The sequence below is a fragment of the Homo sapiens genome, chromosome 6 (assembly GCF_000001405.40).
Source record: "Homo sapiens chromosome 6, GRCh38.p14 Primary Assembly".
NCBI classification, from domain to species: domain Eukaryota; kingdom Metazoa; phylum Chordata; class Mammalia; order Primates; family Hominidae; genus Homo; species Homo sapiens.
Window position 1 is genome coordinate 34,525,807 of NC_000006.12, and position 11,329 is coordinate 34,537,135.

An 11,329-nucleotide genomic window follows, 5' to 3' on the forward strand; every position below is an offset into this window, starting at 1 on the left:
CACACATTTGGGACTCTCAGGAGACTTGTAAGAAGCTAATGGGGGCTGCTGAGGTTGGGAGCAAGGGCAGACAGAAGGGCATTTACAGGGTCCCGGGGCTCAGATAACTGAGGAGGCGCTGAGCCTGGGCTCCAACAGTCCAGGAGAGAGAGCCAGCTCTGGGGGCTGGGGCTGGCTTCTGAACGGAGGTGCTCATACTGGATAGAGGATGGATTCCAGGGAGGGGGAAGGAGGAGGGATGGGGAGTTGGGCATGAGGGTGCTACAGGGCGACTCTTGGGGTTACCTAAGTCTGGTGAGTTAGTCTCTGGACAGGAAGATGGCATCCTAATGCAAGCCTCCCTGGGTCCCATCGGTTTGGGGACCCAGGCCTGGAATGGGGCAAAGGGTGGAAGGCCCTTCCCTCATCTCCAGGGATCTCTCTCCTGCCCTCCCAGTGCATGAGCAGCCGAGCCTGCTAACCGCAGCTCCGCACTTGTCCATCCCCCTGCGGCTACACCATGTCCAGCTCCTACGATGAGGCCTCACTGGCGCCAGAGGAGACCACCGACAGCTTCTGGGAGGTGAGGCTCTCATGATCCCCAGGTTCGGGGACCAGACAGCCTGGCTGTTTGGAGGCCAGGCTCCCTTATCACTCACCCCATGACCTCAGGCCCCACTCCGCAGTCCCCCAGGCCCCTCCAAAGCCCTGGGTGTCCAACAGGCAGCGGTAGCCATGAAGTGGCTAAGAGCACTGCCCACTGAGCCAGGAGCTCCTCTCTCCCCACAGCTGCCCCCAGAGAGAGCCTGTGGCATTTCACAATGTGGGAACAGGCCCTTTGTGACTCTGTGGCACTTCCATCAGGCAGGTACAGCACAGCCTTTCTCAGCTGTTCCTATTTCCCTCGCTCGCCCCCCATCCTGAGGTGGGCAGGGGTGGAGCGCCGGACACAGAGAGAGGGAGTGAGCTCCCAGAGCCCCACGGGGCCGCAGAGCGGGAGGCACAGCCAGAAGCCAGCATTTTCAGAACCTTCGGAAATATTTGAGACCTGGAGAAAAAAAATTGCTATTGGCTCCGGAAACCCAAGACGAAAACTGCCAAACCTAAATTAATAAGCGTTTAATGAGATGTCGACAAAACATAATATTATGTCAAGAAGCTGCAGCTCAACTCAACGCTTATATGACTCTATATAAATATAATAGATTTAACTCGCAAAAACAAAATGAATAATTCATTCCAGCCCAAGTCCAAATTCTAAAAATCCTTCTGCATTTTGTGGCAGCAAGGAAATCATGTTTAAATTGGGGTGAGGGTGCGTGTAGACGGCGGGGCCTGAGGCAGGGTGCTGGAGCCTCCGAAAGTTAGTTTCCCTGGGGTGTTGCCGCTGCGCCGCGGGGCGGGGGGCGGGGGCGGGGGCGGGGACGGCGAGGCCGTAAGCGGGGAGGCGGGGCGGAAGACAGTGGGCGTGGCCGTGCTGGATGCGGCGGGCGGGGCTGGGGACGCTGGGAACCCGCGGGAGTGGTGCTCGCTGCTTGGCCGCCAGGTGGGGAACTACAAGCGGACCGTGAAGCGCATCGATGACGGCCACCGTCTATGCAACGACCTGATGAACTGCGTGCAGGAGCGCGCCAAGATCGAGAAGGCGTACGGGCAGCAGCTCACCGACTGGGCCAAGCGTTGGCGCCAGCTCATCGAGAAAGGTGCTCCCCCAGGCTCACATCGTGCGCGCCCCCAGGCCGTCACGAGCCCCCTAGGTCTGGGTCCTAGGAGCCCCGGCTACTTGCATGCACCATGCCCTCCATCTACCAGACACAGGACATTTTCAGGCGCTGTTCCCTCCTAGATCAAACCAGGCCTACCTGTTCATCTCTATTTTGTACAATTTTAGGTTGAATTAAAAAAAAAAAAACACTTTTTATCTTGAAATAATTCAAACTTTGTGAAAGTTGCAACAGTAGCACAGAGAATTCCTACATACCCTTCCCCCAGGCTCACTGGCCCCACGTTTTCTCACTGACTGTTTATTGATATGCATATTTTCTGAACCATTTGAGAGTAAGCTGGAGCCATTATCCCTGTTTACCCCTAAATTCTTCATGTATCTCCTAAGAACAAGAGCATTTGCTTAAGTAACCAGAGTTCAGCTATCAAATTTGGGACATGTAATACGACCCATACGCACATTTACCATGGCAATTGCGCTTGCTAGTCCAGGATCTAGTGCAGTCGCACATTGCCTCTATGCATTGTGTCTTCAGGTTCCTTTAATCTAGAACAGTTTGAAGTTGCGGTTTACATATACTTGTTCATGTTATTCTCTTGCAGTATACTCTAAACCCCATGAGAGCAGGGGCTGGGCCTGCACCACCTAACACAGTGCCCTGCACAGAGCTGGTGCCAGTACACAAACAACAAGTCAGTGTGGAATGACTGGTCCCCAGTGGCCTCTTGGCATCTGTCACAAGCTTCAGCTAACATTCCTGGAGCACCTACTGTGTGCTTGGCGCTGTGCTGGGCTTGTCAGAGCTCACAGGGTCCAGGCTGCCCCCCTCCGACCCCATTCCATGGGGCTCACATGCTGACAAGAGAGATAAGGAGGAGGGAGGTATGGCCGCAGATACTGTGAGAAGAATGCAGCGAGGGCTGCTGGCCATGGCAGGAGGGCAGAGCAGTCAGGGAAGGCTTCCTGGAGGTGGTGGCTGATGTGGGCCCTAGAGGATGGGGCCACGTAGAGCAGAGGAGGGCATTTCTGTTGCTATGAGAGGAAAGGGAAAGCCTCAGAGAAGGGAGATGTGAGGGGGGGCCTCTGGGCAGGGGCAATGAGGTTCTTGTGACCTATTGCCATTCCCTCAGGCCCACAGTATGGCAGCCTGGAGCGGGCCTGGGGTGCCATAATGACAGAGGCAGACAAGGTGAGCGAGCTGCACCAGGAGGTGAAGAACAATCTGCTGAATGAGGACCTGGAGAAGGTGAAGAACTGGCAGAAGGACGCCTATCACAAGCAGATCATGGGTGGCTTCAAGGAGACGAAGGAGGCTGAAGATGGCTTCCGCAAGGCCCAGAAGCCTTGGGCCAAGAAGATGAAGGAGGTGCTCAGTGGGTGCTGCCACGGGCGGGGTGGGGTGGGCCCGTCTGATCAGAGGGTGCTGATCCCAGGGAGGGCATCTATGGATGGGTGGGCTGGGCACTGCCCTCTGGGATTGTGCCCACAGGGGAGCAGCACTGCCTTCCAGGAAAAAATATTCACAGATGGGTAGGCAGTGCCCATTGGGTAAGGAGACCCATGGGCAAAAAGGGGCACTGTCCCCAGGAAAGATACCAGCAGGGGCAGAAGAGCACATTGGCCCCTGGGTCCCCAGATGGGGCGGGCACTGCACTGCCTGACAGGAGGGTATCTGCAGGGGAGCAGGCAGTGCCAAGCAGAGACGCAGCCACAAATGGAGGAGCGCTGCTCCCGAACACCTGGAGCCAGGGCCTGCATCCCTTCTGGCTCTTAAGAGTGTGGGCTCACAGGTCCCAGGGAGTGGGCAGGGGAGGAGTTAATGGGTGACCATGTTTGCTGCTGGTCACAAATGAAAACCCTACTCCCTATTCCCCCCTCCCCACAGCTGGAGGCAGCCAAGAAGGCCTACCATTTGGCTTGCAAAGAGGAAAAGCTGGCCATGACACGGGAGATGAACAGCAAGACGGAGCAATCGGTCACACCTGAGCAGCAAAAGAAGCTGCAGGACAAAGTGGACAAGTGCAAGCAGGATGTGCAGAAGGTGCTGGCGGGCAGGGATGGCAGTAGGGGGTCTGGGGGCCCCTTGCAGAGGGTGGTGGCTGGGAGCTGCAGGCCTGGCTAGGTGTCACCCTCTCTCCACTCTGGTGCCCACAGACACAGGAGAAGTATGAGAAAGTGCTGGAAGATGTGGGCAAGACCACACCCCAGTACATGGAGAACATGGAGCAGGTGTTTGAGCAATGCCAGCAATTTGAGGAAAAGCGGCTGGTCTTCCTCAAGGAGGTGCTGCTGGACATCAAACGGCACCTCAACCTGGCTGAGAACAGCAGGTACCTGGGCATGGCAGGCACCGAGGGCACAGGCACAGCCAGCAGATGGTGTGACTGGCATGCAGGGCATCCCAGCCCTCCATCACAGTGACGGGAAGGGGAGGCAGAGCTGCAGGGGTCAAGAAGGATGAGGCTTCAAACACAGGGGCTGTTGAGTGCAAGCTGACGCACACTGGGTACTCTAGAAACACATGCTGGATGATGGGTGAATGGCTAAGGTGGGAGGGAAAAGGAGTCCACCGAGCATGCCCGGAGCTTATTCTTGCAAAGCCCACATGATTCCTGGCTGGGCAGCATGCCCAGCACCCTGCTTCCCTGAGTGGACTCTGGCCTCTCACCAAGGTTGAGGAGGGGCCATGTTGAATCTGTGCCCTCCACCTCCCCCATCTCCCTGAGCACAGCTACATCCATGTGTACCGTGAGCTGGAGCAGGCCATCCGGGGGGCTGATGCCCAGGAAGACCTCAGATGGTTCCGCAGCACCAGTGGCCCCGGCATGCCCATGAACTGGCCCCAGTTTGAGGTGAGGATATGTGGGGATGGGAAGGGGAGCCTGAAGAGGCTGAAAGGTGCCTCAGGGCATAGTCCCCCAGCCTGACTGCTCCACTGGCCCCACCAGGAGTGGAACCCAGACCTTCCTCACACCACCACCAAGAAGGAGAAACAGCCTAAGAAGGCAGAGGGAGTGGCGCTGACCAATGCCACTGGGGCGGTAGAGTCCACATCCCAGGCTGGGGACCGCGGCAGGTGAGTGCCTCCTGTGGAGCTTCCTGGGGCCAAGAGGGACCCACACTCTGGGGCAGCTGAGTTTTGCTTCAGAAGACAAGAAATGGTCTAGATCATAGCAACTATGTCTCCTCTCTAAAAGATAGTGGTAGTTCATCACTCTAAAGCAGCCGTCCCCAATCTTTTTGGGACCAGGGACCAGTTTTGTGGAAGACAATTTTTCCACGGATGGGAGCGGGGTGGTTTTCGGATGAAACTGTTCCACCTCAGATCATCAGGCGTTAGATTCTCCTAAGGAACGTGCAACCTGGATCCCTCGCATGCGCAGTTCACAATAGGGGGGTTGCGCTCCTATGAGAATCTAACGCCGCGGCTGATCTAACAGGAGGTGCAGCTCAGGCGATAATGCTCCCTCGCCTGTCACTCACCTCCTGCTGTGCTGCCTGGTTCCTAACAGGCCACGGACTGTCTGCAGCCCCAGGGTTGGGGACCCCGGTCCAGATCACAGGAACCAAGCCTCCTCTCTAAAAGATAGTGGTAGCATATCCTTCTAGAGCACCTACTGTGTGTGGCACGGTTCTATGCACTTTCCATATGTTAACTCATTCATGCTCAAGTGCGTAAATATTACCATTTTACAGATGGAGAAACTGAAACCCAGACAGGTTAAGTGACTTGCCCAAGATCACATTGCTAGTTAGTAAACCTCAGAGCCAGATATGTTGCCCAGGAGGTCTGACTCCAGGATCCTTGCTCTTAAACATTAGGTGGTACTCCTCCTCCCGGATGAAGGCTCAGATGTGCCCTGGGGTCCCCTTCAATGCCCTCTCCCTCGAGGGCTGAATAATAACGCAAATGGTCCTGCATTTAAACATCGGTTTAAAGAGCTCATGAGGGTCACCCCTCCTATGTGGCCAATCCTTGCTCTAGCCTTGGTAGAATTCGGGATCAGGGCTCTGATTAGGAGGAGCGGTTAGCCCTCGGGATGCGGTACGGGGAGACATTGAAGCTGGCTCCTTCCTCCGCGTCTCAGTGTTAGCAGCTACGACAGAGGCCAGCCCTACGCCACCGAGTGGTCAGACGACGAGAGTGGGAACCCCTTTGGGGGCAGTGAGACCAACGGGGGCGCCAACCCCTTTGAGGACGACTCCAAGGGAGTGCGCGTGCGGGCACTCTACGACTATGACGGCCAGGAGCAGGACGAGCTCAGCTTTAAGGCCGGTAGGACGGCTGGGCGGGGCAGTGCCTGAGAGAGGCTTGGGCCTGGATTGGGTGTGTGGTGGTGCAGGGGCGGTGCCTGAGAGAGAAGCTTGGGTCTGGATTGGGTGTGTGGTGGTGCAGGGGCGGTGCCTGAGAGAGAAGCTTGGGTCTGGATTGGGTGTGTGGTGGGGCAGGGGTGGTGCCTGAAAGAGAGGCTTGGGCCTGCATTGGGTGTGTGGTGGGGTAGAGGCAGGATCTGAAGACGGGTTGCGAGGATTTGCAGGGAACTAAATGGGGCGTGGCCTGGGTTGTGGGCGTGACCTGGGCCCAGGATGGGAGTGGGGGCAAGATTTAGATTGGTTGGTGCCAGGGGCGGAGTCAGAACCTGAGAATAGTGTGGATGCGAGGTCTGGTTTTGGGGACGGACCCGACACCCAGATTAGGTGAATGGCTGAGGTAGGCCAAGACCCCTATGCCAAGGGTGGCACGTGAATGTTGGCGTGGGACTGGGGCTGGTTTCCAGGGGCGGGGCCTAAGAATCTAAAACCCAGTGCAGTAATCAGGAGGTGGGTATTGGAGGGTTCCCCTAGCAGCCGGTGCGTTGAGGGAGGGGCAGCCTTCTCTCTGAGCCCCTCCCTGTGTTCTCTTTCCCAGGAGACGAACTCACCAAGCTGGGCGAGGAGGATGAGCAGGGCTGGTGCCGTGGGCGGCTGGACAGCGGGCAGCTGGGCCTCTACCCTGCCAACTACGTGGAGGCTATCTAGAGGCCCCCTCCCTCCATACTCCCGTCACTCCTCCCCACTGCCGCCCCTCCCCTCCCACTCTCGTCTCCTTCCCCTCGCCATAGAGTTCCAGACATATTTTCCGATCAAGCTTTTATTTTTTTAAAAGTCAAAACAGAACAAAACAAAGTATGCAGAGACAGAGCATTTGCAGGGCCACCTGGAGGCTGGGGTGCTGGGGCTTGGGGTGGCCCCAGGGTAGGTAACAGTCTTAGGACTTAGCCCAACATCACAACATCTGCTCTTCGGGTTCCACCAAAGAGTCTCCTGAGCCCTGAGGGATGGATGTCTCCTGACCCTTCCACCCCGCCTCACTCCCTCCGTCCCACTCCACTCCAGGCTGCCGGCACCTGCCCCATTCCCTGGCCTGGTTTCCTAACCTCTTCTTCCTCCCCTGCCCTGCTTCCCTTCCTCCACCACCCTGCTCTCAAAGGCCTCCTCTCCAGACCCCTGGAAGGGAGGCTTCCCCATCTTTAGTTTTCCACTCTGCCCCGGGGAGCACCCTTCTACTCCTAGCCACGTCCCTTGGGACCGGTGGGACTGGAGGAGGAACGGTCACCCTCCTCCCCCATGGAGGTTTCCAGGGGTCCCCCAGACATGAAAGAGGGGTGAGCTGGAGGAAGTCATGGTGTCACTGGGGTACAGGAGGGTGAATGAAGGGCATGCAGGCCCTCAGCCCGGGCTGTGCCAGCCCTCCCAGCCCCAGGCCCATCTGAGGGACCAAGACGCTGTTACGCAGGCCCTTCTTTCCAGCTATCAGCACTTTCAGCATCGGCTCTTCAGCAGATCCAAACCCCCTCAGCAACTTGCAGAGGACCTGTCCCCTCTCAAAAGTCCCCTGGCCTAGGGTGGGGACCCCCAAACCTACGGCAAAGCCAGCAACAGTAGCAGCCTGCTCCCATTTGCTGGGGAGGAGATCATCTTGTTCCCCTGGCCCCCCACTCTCCCTCCATGTCCATCCAAAAACCATAAAATCACTGGGTTCCACATCAGCCTCCATGAGGCCAAGCCTTGTACCTGCAAGGCTCTTGGCCTAACCATTCCTCTGTCCTCTTCTCTGGCCTGCCTGGGGAGCCCGTGAAGGCCGCACGGGTGCCTCCAGCCTGAGACATCAGGGGAGAGCCTGCAGCTGAGTTCAGCAGAAAGGAGGAATCCTGGCCCTCAGGAAGAAGATAGTCACATGTTTTTCTTCCTTGTCCCCACGGCCCCCAGAACAACATTCTCCCTGCTGGCAGCCCTTCCATGTCTCCAAACCTGGGTCAGAGTGAAAGGACCTTTGGGGGTGGGTGGGAGCAAAGGGCCCACCTGCTGGTTGGTGAAAGCAGTGGTGCCGGAGTGCTAGGTACCGCACGAGAGGGTGCGGGGGCTTGGGAAGCAGACCAGGGTTGGACAAAACCCCATGAGGGCGGGGAGCTGGAAGAAAAGTCTCTTGGGGACCTCTGGGGCAAGGAGCTGAGAAGTCCTGCAGCACCAGGTGAGACTTGCTTACAGTGGATGCCACTTCTAGGCCTCTGGACCGCAGATGCCCTCCTCCCTCCTGCACACCTGGCCTCCTGGGCCTCCAGGTAAAGAGAGAGAGCCAGCCCAGCCCTGTTTCCCCTCAGTCCTCCTTTGCTCCTGCTGCTTCTCCCAACAGCCCACTGTTAGGAGGTAGTAGACCCCAGCCTCAAGGCTCTGACCTTCTTCATGTGGGCACAGAGGGTCCTGACACTCTGGCAGGGCCTGAGCTGGGGCAGGCCTCCCTCAGGGCCAGGGGCGATGGCACCCCGGGGACAGGCAGACCTCCTTCCTGCCGTCAGCACCCCCTTCCTTATCACTGTCTGGTCTCCGAGCTTCGGCTGCAGCCTGAGGTGTGTCCTGGGCTCCTCAGAGCCTGAAGCAAGCTTTTGGAAGCCTGCAGTCCTCCCAGCTCCAGTGCAGAAGCCTCTCTCTCCAGCCTTTCCCCAGGCAGGAGTTGGGGTTGGGGGCCTCTGTCCCTCATCGCTTACCTTGGAAAGGTGGGAAGCTGGCAATCTGCACCTTGGGGCCTGGGCTCCCCCTCTCTGTGCCAGCGGCTTCCCAGCACCTGGGAGGGGCTGCAGCCCCAGCTGGACTCCAGCCTGTCCCTCTTAGCACTCTAGCTGCCCACTCCAGGGCAGGGACTCGAAACCCCCTCCGTCCTGAGCAGCCACCTCCAGGGCCCTGTTTGGGACCACTCTCTCAGTCCCCAGGTCCTCAGGGCCCCAGAGCGGGAGGGTCTCCTACCTGGAAGTCCCCCTGAGCTCCAGGGCCCAGCCCTACCTGCCAGTGCTGGTGTCAGGGCACTCAACACCGAGTGTGGGGGCCACGCCCCTTGCCATGCCCACGGCCTCCTCCTGTAGCTCCTGCCTGCACCCACGATGCTGCACGGGCCCGCCCTGGTGGGGCTCGGCGAGTAATGTGTTTTGTCCCCAGTTAACCACCATTCTGCGGCCTGGTTCTGCAAGGAACCAGGGCTGCCCCACCGCCCGCCGTCTGCCGCCCTAGGCTTCCTGACTCCATTAGTTCCGACACTTGTGAAACTCCGAGAAGTGCTGTGGTCTCAGCAATGCACCTGTTTTGTACATGATTGTGTAATTTAAAGGTATATAAATACAAATATATATATATATCAGTTGTGATTGTATGACTGTGGATAAAATCCAGAACTGTGTCAACCTGGCTGCGCATTGTCATCTTGAGTCTGTGCACCTTCAGTCCTGGGGGTTTCTGAGCCCTCTGAGAGCTATTTGTGGTTGGGATGCAGGGGGGTAGGGGTGGTGCCCGAGCAGGACTGGGTGCTGTCCTGGCCCACCATCCACAGACTAGGCCACTGAGAGCCGGTCCCTTCGCCCTGCGGGGGCCTGGGTCTTGTCTGGACTGGGGAGGGTGATACTGGAGGCTCCTGGAGCTCTGGCCCATTCAGGTTCCGGGTGCCTGGTGACAGGCCCTGACCAGGAGAGCTGGGGCATTCAGGGTTCCACATTCATGGATCAAGAGTGAATGAGGTCCTCAAATAGGTTTTGCTTTTTAAAGCAGAATTCTAAAAGTGACTGCTGAGGCCCACGGTTCCTGGCTGTCCACAGTGCCAAGCTCCCTGTGCGGTGATGTTGGGCTGTGCCATGCCTTCCTGCGTCTCGCCTGGCTCTGAATGCATTTCTGTGTGGGACCCGTGGGAGGGCTCCTTGGGGAGAATTTCTCAGGGGCATGGGCAGGACCGGAGCTCTGGGTTCTTGGCTGTTCTGCCAGCCCCAAGCCCAGCCCTTGCTCTAGCTCCCTGACTCCCCCTGCATCCAGCCCCAGGGGATCTCTTCCGGGGTATCGCAGAAGTCCCAGGGCCGGTCCCAGTTCCGCTGTCAGCTCACTGTGTTCCCACCCTCACCTGGGCCTCAGCTTCCCCAGTCTGGTGAGATGTCTCTCTGAGGGTCCTCTGGCCCTGGCAGCCTGGCAGGGCCGTCACACAAGCCCATTACTCGGGGCAAATATACCCCTGTCCCTTCCCTGACACCCCTTGCCCCCAACCTCAGGGTGTGCCAGGCAGGGAGAAAGGTTGAGATGGAGATTGAATCTATTTGCCACCCCATCTTCCTTACTCCTCCTGAATCTATTTGCCACCCCATCTTCCTTACTCCTCCAAACTTACCTCTATGTGAAGCCCTGCTTTTAGCCAAACAGAGAAATCTTCAAATAAAGACAAAAGATTGTTGTATTGTCTTACCTGCACAGGCTGTTCCATTTAGTGATGGGGAGCCCTGAGGGTGGGGTCCCATGGAGAAGGGTCAGAGAATACCCAGCCAGGTGGGGTTCTGCTGGGGAGGTGTTTGGAGGAGGGAGATCTGCAGATCGCTGCCAGCTCACAAGGTGTCACTGGATGGGCGTGTGCCTGCCAAGGTTCATGGGCAGGGAGCTGCCTCACCCAGGCCCCCACATCTACCCTTTCCAGAGCTGCTCCAGCTTTGTACTCCTAGCCTCTACTCCCCATACCTATCCTCCTGTCCAACCCCTGCCTGAGATCTGAGGCCTTTCCAGGCCCAGGCCCAGCTGGGGACATACAAGCAAGTGTCTGCAGGGACTCAGTTGGGAGCAGGGCAGGCTGGCTGGAGACAAAACCAGTTCAGCAGAGCCTGGTTCTGGCCAGGGTCCCAGTCTCCCCCCCACCCTCCTCCTACAAGGGAGTGAGACACAGCAGGGGCCCAGCGAGGCACAGGCCTGGGGCAGGGCCCCCTCCTCCCTGCAGTACAATCCCAGCTGACAGATGCCAAGGTGCTATTTGCTCACTGCCAGGAGCAAACTTTCTTCTGAAGACAATAAAATTGCTGAGGGCAGAAGGCAGCAGTACAGGGTAGCATTTAACCCTTGGTGGTCTGGATAGTGCTGGCTCCCCTGCTGTTTCCTGGAAGCCAGGCCTCAGAGGATAAGGGTGATAGAGGACCAAGGGTGCTGAGCGGTCAGAAAGCCGGAGGGCTGGAGGGGCAGAGAGAGCCCTGTCCTTGGGGAGAGACAGGTATGAGTTATTCTGTCAATCAGCTGTGTGACCATCTGCAAGTCACTTAACCACTCTGAGCCTCGGTTTCATCATCTGCAAAATGG

At 57.8% G+C, this 11,329-nt stretch overlaps 1 protein-coding gene across 4 annotated transcripts in view, besides 4 other annotated features; it reads left to right on the plus strand.

Moving 5' to 3' along the window:
• PACSIN1 (protein kinase C and casein kinase substrate in neurons 1) overlaps positions 1 to 9,417 on the plus strand; it is a 69,148-nt gene extending 59,731 nt beyond the window's left edge. For all 4 annotated transcript variants that reach the window (NM_020804.5, XM_011514541.2, XM_047418689.1 and 1 more), the window contains exons 2-10: positions 437 to 562; positions 1,526 to 1,682; positions 2,836 to 3,071; positions 3,591 to 3,746; positions 3,860 to 4,035; positions 4,437 to 4,557; positions 4,654 to 4,781; positions 5,794 to 5,981; positions 6,615 to 9,417. In NM_020804.5, the coding sequence (NP_065855.1) occupies positions 500 to 562; positions 1,526 to 1,682; positions 2,836 to 3,071; positions 3,591 to 3,746; positions 3,860 to 4,035; positions 4,437 to 4,557; positions 4,654 to 4,781; positions 5,794 to 5,981; positions 6,615 to 6,724 (1,335 nt within the window). In that variant the 5' untranslated portion in view covers positions 437 to 499 and the 3' untranslated portion in view covers positions 6,725 to 9,417. The remainder of the gene's footprint in view (positions 1 to 436; positions 563 to 1,525; positions 1,683 to 2,835; positions 3,072 to 3,590; positions 3,747 to 3,859; positions 4,036 to 4,436; positions 4,558 to 4,653; positions 4,782 to 5,793; positions 5,982 to 6,614) is intronic.
• Positions 1,278 to 1,477: a silencer, noted in NCBI's record as "silent region_17079". NCBI's record gives its function as "represses an Ori minimal core promoter by ATAC-STARR-seq in GM12878 lymphoblastoid cells {active_cell/tissue: GM12878}" and the evidence as "EXISTENCE:reporter gene assay evidence [ECO:0000049][PMID:35858748]".
• Positions 2,092 to 3,073: an enhancer, noted in NCBI's record as "H3K4me1 hESC enhancer chr6:34495675-34496656 (GRCh37/hg19 assembly coordinates)". NCBI's record gives its function as "activates a minimal SCP1, AML or CMV promoter by ChIP-STARR-seq in primed H9 embryonic stem cells {active_cell/tissue: H9 hESC(primed)}" and the evidence as "EXISTENCE:reporter gene assay evidence [ECO:0000049][PMID:30033119]".
• Positions 6,086 to 6,380: an enhancer, noted in NCBI's record as "tiled region #1455; K562 Activating non-DNase unmatched - State 8:EnhW". NCBI's record gives its function as "activates a minimal TATA promoter and a strong SV40 promoter by Sharpr-MPRA in K562 cells {active_cell/tissue: K562}" and the evidence as "EXISTENCE:reporter gene assay evidence [ECO:0000049][PMID:27701403]".
• Positions 8,732 to 9,231: an enhancer, noted in NCBI's record as "H3K4me1 hESC enhancer chr6:34502315-34502814 (GRCh37/hg19 assembly coordinates)". NCBI's record gives its function as "activates a minimal SCP1, AML or CMV promoter by ChIP-STARR-seq in naive H9 embryonic stem cells {active_cell/tissue: H9 hESC(naive)}" and the evidence as "EXISTENCE:reporter gene assay evidence [ECO:0000049][PMID:30033119]".
• Positions 9,418 to 11,329: the final 1,912 nt, after the last annotated feature.